The 18,595-nt window shown below is 42.3% G+C and overlaps 1 protein-coding gene across 6 annotated transcripts in view; it reads left to right on the forward strand.

Moving 5' to 3' along the window:
• Nucleotides 1-18,595, forward strand: part of KCNIP1 (potassium voltage-gated channel interacting protein 1) — a 383,146-nt gene that overhangs the window by 352,920 nt on the left and 11,631 nt on the right. For 4 of the 6 annotated variants that reach the window (NM_001034838.3, XM_017009407.2, NM_001278340.2 and 1 more), the window contains 4 exons: nucleotides 12,352-12,476; nucleotides 13,915-13,984; nucleotides 15,427-15,497; nucleotides 16,307-16,414. In NM_001034838.3, coding sequence (NP_001030010.1) covers nucleotides 12,352-12,476; nucleotides 13,915-13,984; nucleotides 15,427-15,497; nucleotides 16,307-16,414 — 374 coding nt within the window. Of the gene's footprint in view, nucleotides 1-6,447; nucleotides 6,481-12,351; nucleotides 12,477-13,914; nucleotides 13,985-15,351; nucleotides 15,498-16,306; nucleotides 16,415-18,595 lie in introns of all 6 variants that reach the window. The other 2 variants (NM_001034837.3, NM_001278339.2) reach the window with 2 other exon arrangements.

Genomic DNA, 18,595 nt, shown 5'->3' on the forward strand with positions numbered 1-18,595 from the left:
CTGGGCTGTGAAGGGAATATTTAGACCAAGGAAACTGGAAAACTGTATCAATCAGGCTTTTCCACCCTCCCCAAGAGCCAGTTGTCAGATATCTACCAGCCTACCAACGCTAGCTCTCTAATCAGAAACCATCACTTAGCAAGTTCCCAAATTATCTGCAGAGCAATGAACTCCTCTTCTTCAGAAAGCAGGCTGAAAGATACACTGTTCACATCTTAGCCTGACCTGGACCCAGTGAGTTTCCATCAGTGAGAAAATTCTGTGCTAACTTGAGATAATACTATTCTTGTGGCAATTTTACTTTTCCTTTGAGCGATTCCTTCAACCTCTCTCTGCCCCTTCATTTTTCCGTCTTAAAACTAAAAGTGCCCTTTCTCCCTGGACACTCCTCATTTGCAATGAATTGTCATTTCAGCTCCTCAGTCAAGAGGAGTAATGAAATCCCACCCGTGTTAATCCTCTTATATCCCGCAGAAATATTGTAGACCCACTCACCCTAGGCAACATGCCCTCTCTCTTCAACACAGGTCATCAATTGTTCATTTACTGGCTATCTCCATGTACTGGAACTTCAGGGTGGTGTCCAGCTGGGTTCAAAGGAGAAACAGTGGGAAGTTTCTCCACTGCCACCTGAATTAGATGAGAAAGAGTTGTCTACTGAAATACACTAGCTGGTGGCAGGATTGGGACGTCATTTGACTAATTGCCTCCTAGAGCTGCAGAGACTGCTGGAACTACCTAAGTAAATCATCAAAAAAAAAAAAAAAAAAAATCATCCCAGGGCACTTTTTCCAGACAAAAAGGTCCACTTAAAACATCCTCTAGAGATCTGTGCCTGAAGCTGAGCTGCTGCAATGAAACTGACATTTCTGCCTTGCAGCCTGGCCATGGGCTTAGCTGGACTAAAATGCTGCTGCAGTGGTGAGGGCACGTGAGAGTCCCTAATGTACATGGCCTTGCTCCTTGTCCTGACACATCTTTTAGGGCTGCTGCTTTCTCTAGTGCTGGAATCTAGATAATTCCTTTCCCAGCCGTTTGTTTCTTCAATCTTGGAAAATATCTGGATGAATGTAACACTGTCACACACAAACAGAATTATGACTTACGTCACATTCTATGTCGTGATTTTGTGGACTTTTAATAATTGCATTACATTTGTGACCATTAATTTCCACCATCGCCCTGCTCCTGAGAATCTGTAAGGGACATTTGACACTCCTCTCCCCACCCACCTCAACATTTGTGCTGACCTGAAGGTCACATTAAAAACATACCCATTTGGAGAGAAAGATCTGTCTACTGAAATACACTAAATATTGAAGAATTTCCAAGTCATTTGATCTTGAAAACTCCATCTAATGGAAGCAGAAACACTCAAAGGTTTTTTTTTTTGGACTCCCTTTTTCAGGACACTTTCAGGACTGAGGTATATAAATGAATGAGAAATGTATAAATTCAATTTCACTTAAAAGGAGCAGGAGGGGTTTCAAGATTAAGAGAACAAATGCTTGAAGCAAAACATGATTTGAGTTTTATTGAACCGAGAAGACTGAAAAAAATACGTGGAACACTCAGAAAATCTTTATCAAGGCTCAGCTGAGCACTCCTGGGGCTCATTGTTAAGTTTATAAAACTCAGAGCTGATGAGTTGTGTGCACTGTGTGGGTCTGAGTGGGCTTATGACTCCCCTCCAAGCCTGGCTGTAAGAATCTAAGACTTAAAGCTGAAGGACCAAATGGGACTTTCCGTCCCATCCCCTCTCTGCTCCATGCAAGCACCAACGTGGATTTTTGCCCCTAATTATATTAGGGAACGCTGTCAATCAAAAAGATGATGTTAAACTCATCCAGAACAAACCAAACCATGTTTAAGGGGAAGAAAAGATTACATCTTCAAATGCCAGCATGCCATCATTAATACAATGTCTAATGTAGTCAATATAGTTCAGGCAACATTGAAAATGAACCACTGCAAATACTAGGAATACAATTTCAAGAGGAAGCACAACATTCTGTGTTTCTATGCACACAGTCCTGTAAATTATTTGCAGCTCAAGTATGTCATGTTCTTTTAAATTTTCCCCTGGGTACAGCTTGAACAACTTCCTACAAGTGTTGATATGTCATATTCTCATTATCATTTAGTTCAAAATTACCATGATTTAATTACCATGAGGTTGCTTTTTTGATACATGAGTTACTTAGAAATTGAATTAGGCTAGGCATGGTGGCTCCCACCTATAATCCTAGCACTTTGGAAGGCCAAGGCAGGAGGATTGCTTGAGTTTGAGGCCAGTCTAGGCAATATAGTGAGACCTCATCTCCACAAAAAAGTACAAAAAAACTAGCCAGGCATGGTGACACATGCCTATAGTTCCAGCTACTCAAGAGGCTGAGGTGGGAGGATTGCTTGAGCCTGGGAGGCAGAGGTTGCAGTGAGTGGAGATCACACCAGTGCACTTCATCCTGGATGACATAGCGAGACCCTGTCTCAAAAAAAGAAAAAAAGAAATTGAACTATATTGCTTGATTTCCAAATGTTTTTGAGGATTTTCTAATTTTCTTTTGGCTATTGATATGTTGCTTAATTCAACTCTGGACAAAAACAGTCTATAACTTCAATTCTTTAAAGTTTTTTGAGATTGACTTTATGGCCCAGGAAATGGTCACTTTTGGTAAATATTCTATGTGCACTTGAAAAAATTTATAGTATTTTATGATTGCTGAGTACAGAGCTCCATACGTCTCAATGAGACAAGTTTCTTAATTATGTTGCTCAGATCTTCTATACCCCTATTGATTTTTTTGTCTGTTTATCAGCTGCTGAAAGAGGTATTTTTAAATTACTCCAATTATGACTGTGAATTTATTATTTTTCCTTTTAATTCTATCAGTCTTTGCTTTATTTGTATTTTGAAGCTACATTATTAGTACATATTAATTTAGAATTGTTTTATCTTCCTAGCAGATGGGCCCTTTTACATAAGAATTCTCTATCTCTAGCAAAGTTACTTGCCTTAACATCTACTTTAGCTGATGTAAACATAGCTGTGCCAGTGTTTCTTGATTTGTGTTTGCATGGTATATCCTTTTCCATCATTTTACTTTTATTTTCTGTGCCCTTATGCTTACAAGCAGCATTTAATCAGGGTTTGGTTTATATCTGATGATTTCTATCTTGTATTGTAGATTTTCTATTTTTTAATTTTTCAGTGGTTTTACTCTGATGTTCTTATAAGTGGTTTTCTTTGTGTTTATCTTGCTTGGGGTTTGTAGTGCTCCTTCACTCTGTGACTTGATATATTTCACTCATTTTTTTAAAATGTTCATTTATTAGCTCTTTAAATATCGCTTCATTATCATTATTTATCTCTTTCTTTTCTGAGACTCCAATTATACATATGTTCAAACTTTTCATCGCGTCTCATATGTCTCTTATGCAAGCTTATCTGTGATTCCATTCTTTTTTTTTCTTTTTTTGAGATGGAATCTCACTTTGTTGCCCAGCCTGGAGTGCAGTAGCACAATCTCGGCTCACTGCAGCCTCCACCCCTTGGGCTCAAGTGATTCTCCTGCCTCAGCCTCCCAAGCAGCTGGGACTACAGGCGCGCACCACCATGCCCAGCTAATTTTCATATTTTTAGTAGAGACGGGATTTCCCCATGTTGGCCAGGTTGGTCTCGAACTCCTGACCTCAAGTGATCCCCCGCCTAGGCCTCCCAAAGTGCTGGGATTACAGGCATGAGCCACTGTGCCTGGACTGTGATTTCATTCTTTTCTCTCTTGTGCATCTGTCTGTGCATTTTTCTATTGACTTATCTACCAAGTCACTTATTATCTCTTAATCTGTGTCAAACCCACTTTTAAATTGGTCTGTTTAATTGTTAATTTGGATAACATATTTTTCAATTCTACAATTTTTGATTGACTTTTTGTATATATTCTGGTTCTCTGGTGGAATTATCTAGCTTTTTGTATATTTTCTTGAACAAATGTTCACCATTATTTTAAAGCCCAGATATGATTAATCCAATTATCTAGATCAGCTGTGGATCTATTACTGTATTCTATTTTTTCTCTTAGTCTTGTCTCTTAATATGCCTGACAGATTTTTACTGAAGGGTGCACATTGGAATAAAAAATGTGTTACCTATCTGGTTGAGTCTTCAGCTTCAGAAAGGTAATAGAGCAAAGGCAGATAAATCCAAACAGGGACTGAGCTGTTTTCATGCAGGCTGCCTTGGTAGCTCTCCAAAGCCTTCAAAAATGATGAGATTTTTTTTTAAATCCTTTTTATCCAGTTGTTCTCAAGGGATTCCACCCCTGCATAGGAGAGCTCACCATTCCTGGGATCTTCAGCTTCTATGCCTTTGCATATGCTCTTCCCTTGTTCCCTCATTCTTCAACACTCAACTGAATTATCACCTCCCTTGAAGCCTTCTCTGACATCCCTTCTAGTCCCATGCCACCCAGGAGGCACTAAGAGCTTCCTCCCCTCAGCTCCCAGTTCTTAAACATGTCAACACTGTTTTGAAATGATTTGCCAATGAAAAATTCTAGACCAGCAACCAACAACATCCTTCCCAAAGGTGTGTTATATATGGTACATGCTGTATGTGCTAAACACCAAATTCATTGATAACAGCTAAGAACCAGGAAACAAACCATCGTTAATTATGGCATCTCTTGAAAAATCTAAAGATCTGGACTCACTGGGCTTAAATGACTGCATGATAACAACTGGTTGAGTAACAACTGTTTCCCTTTCATGGAGCAGTTACTCTCCAGTTCTCAGTTCCTACCACTCTCTATAGTTGTACACTCATCATCTGTCCTCATCTGAATTACCTGCCAATGACTACTGGCATTTGAGTTTCTAATCCATGGTCTATGTGTATGCCTCCTCACCAGTGTGAGAACTCATGTAAACAGGTATTATGTCTTTTCATCTCTCTCCTAATACCTAAGACATTCCTGGCACACCAGAGCATGTCAATGCTTCTAAACATATCTATATTAAAATGCTACCAAAGCATTCAGGGTAGTGAAACTATTCTGCGTAATGCTGTAACAGTGGATACATGACGTCATGCATTTGTCAAAACCCACAGAACTGTACAACACAAAGCATGAACTCTAATGTAAACTATGGGCTTTAGTTAATATCTACATATCAATACCGGTTCATCAACTGGAACAGATATACCACACCAGTGCAAGATGTGAATAATAGGAGAAACTGTGAGGGCGGAATATACACAAACTCTCTATATTTTCTGTGCAATTTTTCTGTAACCTGAAACAGCTCTAAAAATAAAGTATATTTATAAAAAATAAATAAATACAAATGCCACCTCACCAGAAGGATCAAAGGGGCAACTAAATCCAGCAAAGTAAGTGTCTCACGTGGAATACAGGTCAGGAAATGAGTGAAAACACTCCAATGGATGCCCACCTATACGATCACTTTGAAGAGCAGCAGGAAAATAAGCCTCTGCTGTCTGGGTTGCAGATTGGGGGACAGGAGAGAAACTAATACACACTCAAGATGGTGGCTGAGCTGCCTTACACACTCGTGGCCAGGGGTGCTTGCAAGACAGGCGGAAGTTCAAATAAGAGCCTACAGAGGAAATCCAGGCCAACCACAAAATAGACCCACAAAGGCCAGCAGGAGAGTATCTAGTGGAGCTCCCTGGGACCTTGGACTCACCCAGCTCCACTGTGCCATGGATAATTTTCCAGGTCTGGTATTTTGTCTTGTATTTTATATTCTGCATAATGGGGGACTTGGCCGGCATCCACTCTGCCACACATCCTAATGGGCTAACCCTCTTCTGCAACTACCCTTTTCTTTTTCTGCATCTGGTTACTAATCAAGCTTAATGGGGGAAGAAAGAATCAAAAACTTGTAGACTGTAAGCTCCAAGAGAACAGAGAACAGAGCTGTTTTATTCACTGACTTGTACCTAGTAGATACTTCATTGACAGTTATTGGGTGGAGTGAGCAAACAAATAATCCTACAAGATATGCAGTTTCCAATCACAAAGAAGCAGAGAGGGGGAATGGGGGCCTCCTGATTGTGGAGGGTATCTTATAAGCCTCTCCTCAGTCAAACATGCGAGTGTTTCCAAGGACCCATCCAACATTGCACATCTCTGCCATGTGCCATCCCATCTCTGCAGGCTGCATGACTGCATGGCTGAGGGCATGTTCAATGAGCCCCTGTGGGAGCCATGGGCACTGGGAGGCAACCCACTGCTCTTGCCTGTTCTGACCATGGGAAAAGGACAGGGAGCTCAGCTCCAGCTCTGCTACTGAGAGGCTCTTCGCATATGTCAAGCTGGACGACGTGGACACCCTCAGAGCGGCCTCTCTCCATTGACAATAAAAGTGTGTTTTGCTTTTCGATGAATCGATTTGGTAAAATGTTTTCTCACTCTTTCCTAGACATCGCCTGGTGGTATTACCAGTATCAGAGAGGTAAAAAACAGTTTAAACTAACCTGACTTTGGTCACATGACTTGCAAAGGCAGAGCTTCTTAATCAAGCTCATGTTTTGTAATTAGTCTTCTCATGCACCAGCTTTCTGTGTCCTTTGTTAACAAGCCCCACATATATAGAAACAGTTGGAAATGTTCTTTTAGAGACAAGTTACAGGAAAAGCTTTGCTCCCCGTAAGAAATGGTTACGTTTTCCTTTTACAGACATTTGTAAAAACTCAGAGCCCATTTGCAGCTCAAGTGTAGTAATTGCTTCAAACAAATGGCCTGGATTTCTGTGTTCTCTTTTTCTCCATGGTCTTCACCTCCTAATCTAATCAACATATACTGAGGCAGTTTTTCTTATTACTTTATCTCTTTTTATTTCATATTTATTTCCTATAATCAGCTTCAAGTCCTTTGTGCAACAAAGTGGCATGTGTTTAAATAAACAGTGAGGAGTAGGCTATGTGGTTTGTAGGTGGGAGGGTAAGTAGGTATAGATCAAAAACCAAAAACTCAATGCCTATTGCACAGGGCAAGCAGCATAAATGAATTCTGTGAGCCAGGGGTGAACAACAGGACATCCTAGAGGCTGTGGCTGCCCAGAGGGGACAGCCGGTGTTCAGCTCTAGCAGGCTGCTGAAGTGTCTGAATTTGAGACCAAAATTGTCAGATAATCCCATTTTCCAAGACAAATCAGACATCCAGATTTGTACATGGATCTCTCATCTTTAAACATGGACAACTAATTCCAAAATAATTAAGATACATTTTACAGGTCAAACAAGACCTATCTTTGGGCCACACTCAAGCCGAGGATCACTATTTTGTAACCTCAAAGCTAGACGGATGGCCGGGTGCAGTGGCTCATGTCTGTAATCTCAGCACTTTGGAAGGCCAAGGTGGGCAGATCACCTGAGGTCAGAAACTTGAGACCAGCCTGGCTAACGTGGTGAAAACCCGTTTCTACTAAAAATAAAAAAAAATTAGCCGGGCATGGTGGGGCACACCTGTAATCCCAGCTACTCAGGAGGCTGAGGCAGGAGAATTGCTTGAACCCGGGAGGTGGAGGTTGCAGTGAGCCGAGATCACACCATTGCACTCCAGCTTGGGCAACAAGAGCAAAAATCCATCTTAAAAAAAAAAAAAAGCTAGATGGGTAAGTATAAAGTCCAAATCAGAGACACCATGAGGGAGGCACTATTGGCCAGTCCAGGGAGGAGATGGTCATGGTCACGGTCCTGAGCCTGACAGAGGGGTCACCTCACTGGCGAGAAGACCCAAGGTGTGAGTCCTCCCACTGCTCACAGTCCAGGTCTAACTGGTACACAAGCACACAGCTTCGTAGGAGCATGTGTGCTGCAAGGCTGGCTACAAGCGAGTTTGCAATTTGTGCTTGAGGAAAGCAGAATCCACTGTGGGGACATGTGGAAACCAGATATGATGAAAGGGGCCTGGACTGGCTGGATTCTAGGTCCAGATATGTCACCCATTGCTCAACGACTTAGGACTCAGACAAAGCCAGTTAGTGAGAAGGTTTAGAAGAGATCTCCTATGCTAGAATAGCTTAGCATTGGCTGGATGTGTTTAACAGATACAGAAACCCACTGAAAGTACAGTCATGCTCTGCATAATGACGTTTCCATCAGCAACACAACATACACAATTGTGGTCCCATAAGATTATAACAGAGCTAAAAAATTCCTATTGCCCAGTGACTTCTTGAGGTTCCTGACCCTGTGTGGGCTCAGGCTAACGTGTGTGGTTGTGTCTTCATTTGTAATTTTAAAAAAAGGGTTTTAAAAGAAAAGAAATGAAAATAAAAAATTTTTAAATAGAGAAAAAGCTTATAAAATAAGAAAATAAAGAAAAATATTTTTGTACAGCTAGGCAGTGTGAATTTTAAGCTAAGCGTTATCACAAAAGAGTCCAAAAGTTTGAAAAAAAACCAAATAGTTTGTAAAATAAAGTTAGAGTAAGCTAAGGTTAATTTCTTATTGAAAAAAAAATTTATTAATTTAGTATAGCCCTAAGCATAAAGTATGTATAAAGCCTACCTCATGTTTAGTAATATCCCAGGCCTTCACACTCACTCACCATCACTCACTGACTCACCCAGAGCAACTTCCAGTCCTGTAACTTCCATTCATGGTAAGTGCCCTAATAGTTGTACCATTTTTTATTTTTTACACCTTAGTTTTATTGTACCTTCTCTAAATTTAGTATGTTTGGACACACAAATACTTAAAATACTTACCATTGTGTTACAATTGCCTACAGTATTCAGTACAATAACACACTGTACAGGTTTATAGCCTAGGAGCAAAAGGCCATACCATACAGCCTAGGTGTGTAGCAGGGCTACCCCATCTAGGTTTGCGTGAGTATACTCCACGATGTTCACACGATGACAAAACTGCCTAACAACACATTTCTCAGAGCGTATCCCTGTTGTTAAGCGACACATGACTGAATAAGCAAATGTGCAGTGATTGTGCATTTTTTTTCCTGAGAGAGTCTAAACCCCTCATTCCACACTCAGAAGAGTCTATGATCCCAAAACATTAAGGATCACTTAATCAAAATCATCTACTATTCAATCTGAGAATTTCCTGTGTAGCATCCTCTAGAGTTGGTGATTCCATCTCTCTTTGCCCCTAGTGATAGGTATTCATCACTGTGTGAGGCACTCACAGTTAGAAAATCACTTCTTAATATCACATGCGCAGGGCAATGGTCCCCTCACTCCCTTCACACGTAAGGTTATGGAACAACAGGCATGAGAACGCTGAATGGCTTAAAAGTACTTTACAAACAAAAGGTGCTCTAATTTATTCTTGTTATGTCATTATTGCCATAGTATTACATCTCAAGTTAATTTTTATCTCAACCATTCAAACTTAAGTCTGACTTAGTAACTAGCTCATCATTATTTTTTATAACAAAGTAATGACTAGCAACATCTGGCATCAGACTTTGAACAAACCTCAGAAGGAACTGTCAAGGAGGCTCCCCACGGGTTCACGCTCTTCTCTCCTCCTGCACACAGGGAACAGGGCCATTCTCCTTCCTTTACTGGGACTACCTGGGCTTCATCCAGGGAATCCCCAGGTGGCAACAGGAGGGTGGTGAAAACCGCTGCCCGTCACCTGTAAAGTTTCCTGTGAATGTGTCTACAGCGGCCAGCACCACAAGGCATACAAAGAAAGGGAAGGGAGAGCTGATGTGAGAGCGGCAGCGTGGGCACTCCTGTGAGGTTGCCACAGCTGTAGACAAGTTAAATCAGTGCAGTTCAATCAAAAGTCATGACCCATGAGCGTCACAACCAGCACGAGTCTACAAAGGAATACATTAAAACTAAGACCAGAGCACAGCTCACATTAGTGAGGGATGGGATCATTTCATGGAGTTTTTGTTTCAAAATATTTCATTAACATTTCACTTATATACATGTGTGTATACTGGGTTGTGATTTAAATTACAATTCTTACTATAAAATACAGCAAAAGAAAGAAGAAACAAAGAGAGGGCCACTGGTTTACCTAACATCCACAGGCAGGCTACTTCCCAGCATCTTGAGCCCCAAAGAAGTAAATTTCCTTCCACAACCGATGTTACCACAGCCTGACACTTAGCCAATGATGAAAACGAAAAACAAAACAAAAGCTTGGCAGTCAGTATCCAAATATGCAGATACTACAGAATCTGTTTGATGTAGAAGTTGATCCTGCTACCCAGACAGCAAACAACTCATTTATTAATAAAGTCCAGTTCCTCCTTAATGAAGTGGGTTTAATAGTTGATATCTCAATAATTACTTAGTGCATTTTTTATGAAGGTGATGGGAAACAAGTGCTGTTTCTTGAGTCGGAAAGAGTCTCTCAAGCTCCCACAAAGAAATTTCCCGAGCTTGTGAGGAATTCAGTCACAGGAAGATCAAGGAATTAAGTGTACTGCAAAAAACCCTTCATGCTTCTGGCTAAGATAAATCTAACAGTGTACTGGATGTCTTCAAGAATACCTCATTTACTCAAAAAATACAATATTCCCATTTTCTTTATTTGCATTTTAATGTGATTTTTGCTTCATCTCCTTTCTTCACTCAAGCCACCTGGGCCGTACCCAGGGAATTCCTAAGGGGCAAAAGGAGGGATGTGAAAACCTCTGCAGCCCCTTCGGAAGTTTCTTGTGAATATATGCACAGATAAACAGATGTGCATTTTAAAAATAAAAATGCTTTTAGATCTAATGCTAGGAGATTCAAACCAACAATTAATTTCTCTGTTAAAATGGGTTAAAATAGATGTAAAATATTAATATGTATATAAGCATTCTGAATTAGACTTATGTGAATTTTTCTCCTTTTCTTTCTTTCTTTTTGAGAATAAGCCCTTTCATTTACGTAGAAATGCTTCAGCGTTTAGATAATTGCTACTTATCTTGTTAGCTACAAACACAACCATAATTAAAGGCTCTGTAAGAATTATGAATTCTGGGGAAATTGGCCACTTGTCTCTGTGGCGTAAACAGTATCTAATTTATAACAAATCATCTGCCTTAGTCCCAGCAGGATAAGGTGATATGTATTGCCCAGCACATGAGAAAGATGGCAATTAGGAATTGTTACCAAGTTACGGGAGCCTCACACGAACATCCATCACCTTTGGGGATATGTACAAGATACAAACTTAATTTGATGGATTCCTTTTGTATTGGGATCAAAGTCTCAAAAGGGAAAGTGACAATTTCAGGGAAAATCTGGTGCAATGAGACCAACACTGATGAGAGAAATGCACACAATTTAATACACCTGCTCACCTGATGTGGCAACTCAGCCTGTGCTTGCTGTGGGTTGCCACAGGATGAGACATGGTCTGTGCATATTCCCAGCAGCCACCCATCTCATCACTATTCTTGCCAGCCCAGATTTACAGTTGTTCAATAGATGGATTTGGTAATATCTGCATGACAACAACAGGCAGAGAAGGTTAGATGGCAATTGATTCTTGATTGGTGTAAGTTTATAGAACACATTCTGGCAGGGCCCAAAGGAAATCACTCACCTACCCCTCTGTGATGGTAAAACGTTGAAAATTCCACGGACTTGGACCTTGTGATCCTTCAGTGGAAGATGGGCAGATTCCTTGCTTTAATTGACAGACACTTTCTAAATAACTAATGCAATCTTATATTACATTATAGTCCATAAGGGAGACATACTTAAACTACTACTTACAACAACTGTTTTTAGAGCCTTTCAAATGGTTTGTACAAAGTAGCTCCCATTTAAGATATTTTCCTAGTATTTAAGGCTATCTAGTAGACATTACAAAACAATACGCTGTAAATACATTCAGATTTTTATCAGTAATACTTAACATGCCGTAATTTGAACTTTCTGCTAAATCATGCTATCCATTCCTAGTTGGCCCCAATGGTGAGAGTTTACTGTTTCTTTAAATAATTTTGTTTCCCTTTGCTGTCTAGAGGTGTTTATCATTCTGCTTACTTGCCTGTGTCTCTGGAATATTCAGAAGGTTCCATGGGAAACAATTTGAATATGCAAAGAAGTTATTTTTAAAGCAAGGAAAATGTTTTCATATGGATTTATTTTGAGCACTTCTGCCTTTGCCTCCACTGGGAACATGTTTCTCTCCAACGCCGAAGCCCCCTCCCTGTGTGGTGTTTGACGCAGAGGCTGACAGGGCAGGGAAGTGGGGTTCAAGATAGGAAGGCCATTGGCAGTGTGACCCCAGCCCACAGTCCTAGATCCCAGGTCGTGACACCACTCTTTTGACAGCCCAGATTGTTACCTAACAAGAATGACTCCCAAGCTCAACCATTCCAATGCCATCTCCTCTGGTTCCAGATAAGATTGAAGATGAGCTGGAGATGACCATGGTTTGCCATCGGCCCGAGGGACTGGAGCAGCTCGAGGCCCAGACCAACTTCACCAAGAGGGAGCTGCAGGTCCTTTATCGAGGCTTCAAAAATGTAAGACCCGTGCACGCTCTGAAGGCCTGGGGGGGGTTCCCACGTGAGGCTACACTCTCCCCAATGCCAAGGGAGCTCATAAGGCGTTTCCCATATGTGAGGCTGTACAAGGAAGGCCAGCTCTATAAAGGGGGCATGAGAGGGAGATCACCTGGCTAGAAAGGAAGGCTCCAGGCGAGGATGGAGCAACCTCAGGAGACAGTAAACGGCCAACTGCCCAGAAATTTCACAGGGTGGCACATCCTCAAGGAATTCACCCTGGCCCAGGGTCAAGCCTTAGCCCTTAACATAATCATACCTTCCAACCTGGTGGTGCCCCCACAATAATGGGATTTGGCCCTGCTGACTTATGCTAACCAGGCTCACCGAGACTGATGTGTAAGCCGAATGTCGGTGTATTAATTTACCTTGGGAAATGGAACTGACAGTGGAAACAGACACTCCTCTCCCTTCGCTGGGACCCGCTCTCCTTGGAAGCCACATGGAAGCCAGGTTACAATCAAAAGTGGAGTCAGAGGACGGGAGTTCCTTGTTTAGTTGTTACTTTAAATACATTAATGTGTTCCTGCAGTCTCAGGCCAGTTTGAGAGCTCTCAGATACAATCCTGGATATTAATTTATTTTTTAAGTTTAACTCTCAGAGTGCAATCTTATTCCCAAATCCTGGAGTGGTGTGGAGTGGGGTGGGCTACAGCGACATGCACCTGGTCACCCTCCCTCCAGGTGCAGTCTGTAGGTAGAGCTGAGCTGGGTCAGTTCCAAACTGACCACAGCCTCAATGTTCTCCAAACTGCTGACCCACAGGGATTCCAGCCCCTCCTGGGAGTTATCTGACAGGTGCTGGGATGCCTCTTCCTTCCACACTAGCCTTGACTGCACATGCCAAGTGCCCAGTTTCCTACCATTAGGGCTTCTTTCCTTCGATGGCAGCATTAGCAGTGGGCAGCCGAGTTGGAGAAGGATCCTGTGGGAAAGTTTTCCAGGCAGGCACTGGGCTCAGAGGGAACAGCATCCAGAAAAGAGAAGAAATCTACACTGCTTGGCATCTACCATGGACTCAATACCACCTAACATAGGTTCATAAGATACCCTTGGGGAAGTTATTGTTACCCCCATTTTACAGGTAAGGATATTGAGGATCAGAGACTGGCTTGGCCAAAGTCACAAAGCTTAGTATTGGCTGAGCCAGGATTTAAACCCAGGTTTTTCTGATCTTAAAGCCCCAAATCTCTCCACCTCACAGTGCCCATTCTCTGACAATGTCTCATCATTTTGCAAAGCAGCTCCAGTCCTGAGATGGCACTACTTGGGAGAAGTGGAAATGCACAGGTCCCTGTCCCTGGGGATCATGAGGAACCCCAGACACCAAGGCTGGGCCCAGTCTTCTCCTAGTGCTGGCCCTCAAATGCCTCCCGCTGACTCTCTCCCCTTCCCACAGGAGTGCCCCAGTGGTGTGGTCAACGAAGACACATTCAAGCAGATCTATGCTCAGTTTTTCCCTCATGGAGGTGAGTCTGACCTTGAAATCTATCTTGCCCAGCTCCCTCTCTGGTAAGCAGCCTTCCCTTCCTCCAAGTCCTCTCTTCCTTGCCATTTGCTTCCTTCTCGAGGAAGAGACAAACTCAGGGCAGGACACCTCCCTCATCGTGAGAGGTGGGAGTCTCCAAAGCTTTAGCAGGAAAGAACTCTGAAAATGAACCCACCCTGGAAGGGGAAGAAGGGCTGATAATGCAACATCACAACGTCTCAGAACAGCTCTAGAAAGCAGGTATTATAATCCCAGATGGAGTAACTGAGTTTCGGGGAAGATAAGCAGTGTACTCAAGATTGCACAGCTGGTGAGTAGCAAACCAGGATTAGATTCCATAAGGGTCTGAAACAGGTTTTGCCATGCTGGCACCACCATTGTGCAGGGCACTTTTGAATCTTTTCCTTAAAATAGCTGAGACAAGCTGGAATTTTGTAAAAGAACTTCAGTAAATACCGAAGACTATAAAAATAAACTAATTGAAAAAGAGGCAGGAAACATAAAGTTGTGCTTATTAAGCCAGTTTACAAGTGTGCCAGGCCCACAACAGCTGCTCTGTTGCCCTGCCCGACTCCTGTGGGAACCAGCTGTGTCCCCATGGGCCTGGGACCACATCGGTGACTCCTCCTGTGGCCTCCATGTGTCACATGCCACTTTGCATCCTGTCACCAAGAGCTGTCTCCTGCAAGACATCTTCCCTGGATCCTGACAAAATGCAAATCCAAGTATTCCAAACACTTCTTGGGCCCTGTTTCTCATGGGCCTTTTTGGCAGCAGACAGATGCCTTCCTTGGTGTGTGGGGCCCCTACCCAGATCAGGTGGGGGAGGCAGTTTTGTCCCATGCAGGCCCCAGAATTGCAGTTTGCTGAGTTCCACTGAGCCACTGTTTATTGAGTTCTCACTGTATGCCAGGCACAGCTGTAGTTTAAAATACTTTTTAAAAAATTTCAAGAGATAGGTCTTGCTACATCCCATTGTAGAGAGGTAGGAAAGGGAAGCTCAGAGAGGTCGTGCTTGATGCCCACAGTCACATAGCTTATGTAGTACAGCGGCATCCAAGTTCAGGTCTCTCTACTCTGGAGTGAGTGCTCATCCCAGGCATTCATGGCCGTTCAGAAGAACATTGTCATGCAGTCACTGTGCCATTCATACACCAACGACTCCATGCATAGACAGGCAGGAGAATGGTTTTCTCATGATGGCTAGAGGGAGGGGCAAGGGCTCATCTCACTTTTTGCTAGATCTAACTTCACACCCAAACCCAAAGAGTTGAGTCAATGGGCCCCACTCCATAATTTTCTCCTTTCCATCACCCTAGCATCACTCTCCTCTCTTTCTTGTCGAAGCCCTGCCTTGTTTGGAAGGTTCTCCCTGTGTGGAATTCCTGCCCCCATCACCTGCCCTCCTTTTCTGCCTTGTAGATGCCAGCACGTATGCCCATTACCTCTTCAATGCCTTCGACACCACTCAGACAGGCTCCGTGAAGTTCGAGGTACGCTCATCTGGGGTCCACTCTAGGGGTCCTCTGGTTCTGCATCACCTCCCCCTCTAAATCTCAAGGCATTGGGGGAAGGTCTGGACCATCAAAAGCTCTCAGTCAGACCAAAGACATGTTTATCCATTTGTAAGCATTTCCTAAAGATGGGGAAAAGCAGCAGCAACTTTCCCTGGCCTGCAGGAACTCAGGGACTCAGGGGACTAATAACAACAGTGTATGAGCTTCCGGGCACACTGCTTCCCAGTGGCAGCCCCTGTACTTAGGGCTTTGTATGTATTAATTCATTTACTCCAATTCCCACAATAACCCTATAGGGTAGGGTTTTATTATTGATTACCTTTTTACAGAAGAGGAGAGTAAGGCAAAGAGAGATAGAGTAGTTTTCCCAAGGTCAAAGAGCACATAAATGATAAAGGATGGATTTGAATGTAGGCAGAATGACCCTCAATACAGACTGTTCCTACAGTCCACGTCCTCAGCCACTAGACCATACGGCCACTGGGATGATAGACAGACCACTGCAGCCATGGATAAGGCAAAAACAGGGCTGGCTGTGTTGATCTGTGTCTCTCAGAGCTCCATTCTTCCTCAAGGGGGCACCTTGCAAAAAAAAACAAAAAAATGGGGCAGGGTAGGGAACTGAAGGCAGGAGCTCTTCACAGAGCATAGCCACATCCTCCAGGCAGACAAGAGGACGCAGGAGGCACCATTCTGTGAGAGTATCACAGTCTGACCCAAAGACACAGCTTCACACTGTCTGATGGCTTGATGGTTAATGTCACTCTGCCTTTTCCCCTTCTCAGGACTTTGTAACCGCTCTGTCGATTTTATTGAGAGGAACTGTCCACGAGAAACTAAGGTGGACATTTAATTTGTATGACATCAACAAGGACGGATACATAAACAAAGAGGTAAGTGAGCTGGGGCCAGGGGTGTGAGAGGGCTCCAGTGAAGGTAACTAACCCAACAGAAAACAGCCCCAGGCATGAGGATAGCACTGTCTGAATGAGGCAGGCTCTGCTTTGGGGCTAACAGAGCTGGTCCCTGGCAAAATAAAGAAGGCCTCCCTCATTGCCCTACCCTGCCCTGTTCCCAAGCGCCCAGAAAGGATTAAACAGATTCATTCTCACTGGGTCACCTAGATTCAGTAGATATTACACAGTGGATAAAAATGACTTGTTTCAGTGTGAAGAGTTACTCTTCCCTAGGGAACCTGCATTTGGGAAGGTTAGGAGCCACAAGTCAAAGCTAAAAGTTGAAATGGTGGAATTGTAGGCAGCACCTAGAATAGAAAAGAAAGATTTTTAAGGAAGAGGAACCTACAATTGGGTCATATTGGCCTTAAACTATTTTGCCTATTAATACAACCGCCAAGGGGGTAATGGAAGGTACAGCTGTCTTTACAGAAATTATCACAAATAATTTCTGAATCTTCACTGCTTTGCACTTTTAGAACCTCAGAGGACATGTCTCTAGCCAGTGAAATACCCTCAGGTCTATCTCAAAACTCACTTTGGTATCCACTGTATCCTGGTATCTCAGTGGAAGCTGGAAATTGGCATCCTGTAACACTCCACTTGCTGAGCTCCTGTGTGCCAGGCACGGTGCCTGGAGGTATAGATATCAGCACCAATCTTCACCTCAACCCGGCAAGCTTCTCTCTGTAAGCTCAGAGAGTTTATCCAACTTTCATTCCTCATTCATTTAGTCATGTTTTTAATTAACACAGATTTGAAGGCTTATTAGGTGTTCTAGGTGCTGGAGGTAAAGAGGTGAACAATCAGACTAGGCCCCACACTGGAGCAGCATAGAGAGATGGACAATAAACAGGCCAAAAAGGAATCAGCAGGTAGAAGATATTTTGGCAGGGAAGGTTAGCAAAGGCCTCTCCAAGGAGGTGTCGTCATACTGGAACCAGTTATACAAAAAGCCAGGAAAAGTGTTCCAGGCAGAAGGAACAGCCACTAGAGAGGCTTTGAGGCAAGATAGAGCTTCATGTGTTTCAAAAACAGAAAGGCTTCAGATGGCTGCAGATGAAGGTATGAAGCTGAAGACTAGTGCAGGATGAGCCTGACAGGTCAGCAGAGTCAGATGGTGGAGGGCTAGGGTAAGGGGCCCATCCATATTCCCCTGGGAAGCTCTTAGATGAACATGTTTTTTGAAAGACACAAAAGGCAAAAACAGACTTAAAAAGAATCAGAAAATCTGACTAGCTCTGTATTATTTAGAGAAATTATATTCACAGTTAAAAACCATTCCCAAATAAAATTATAGGCCCAGATGGTGGACTGGTGAATTCTAATATCAATCCTACAAAAAAATTTTAGAAAATAGAGGAGGATGGAACATTTCCCAGCTTGTTTTATAAGTCCAATAGTACCCTGATACCCAAACCAAAGAAAAAAAGGTCTTATGAAAGGAAACAACTACAAAACAGTCTCCCTCGTGAGCACAGATAAAAAAGCTTTCACTAAATATTAGCAAATTGAATTCAGCAATATATAAAAAGGATGATACAATACAACTATGTGAGTTTTATTCTAGGAAGGCAAGGTTGGTTTAACATTCAAAAACCAATCAATATAATTCACTATATTTAAAGAAACCAAAGGGATATAGACTGGAAAGGAAGAATTAACACTGTCTTTATTTGTACATGGTATAATTGTATTAATAGAAAACCCTAAGAGTCTACAAATAAACTGCTAAAAATAATAAGTGAATTTAACAAAGTGAAGACATGAGTTCTATTTACAAAAATCATTTATAATTCTACATCCAACAAGCAACCAGAAAATTAAATTAAGAAAAATAGCATCAAAAAGCACAAAATACTTTGAGAAAAATTCAACAAAACAGGTGCAAGACTCATACACTGAAAACTATAAAATATTGCTGAAATAAAGTAAAGAACTAAATAAACACAGAGATAAATCATGCTCATGGGTTGGAAGGCCCAATATAGTTAAGATGTGGATTCTCCAAATTTGATTTATAGATTTAGTGTGATCTCAATCAAAATCCCAGCAGGTATTTTGTAGCAGTTGATATGGGAATGCAAAAAACCTAAAATAACCAAAACATCTGAAAAA

This window comes from Homo sapiens, chromosome 5 (genome assembly GCF_000001405.40).
Source record: "Homo sapiens chromosome 5, GRCh38.p14 Primary Assembly".
Taxonomy (NCBI): domain Eukaryota; kingdom Metazoa; phylum Chordata; class Mammalia; order Primates; family Hominidae; genus Homo; species Homo sapiens.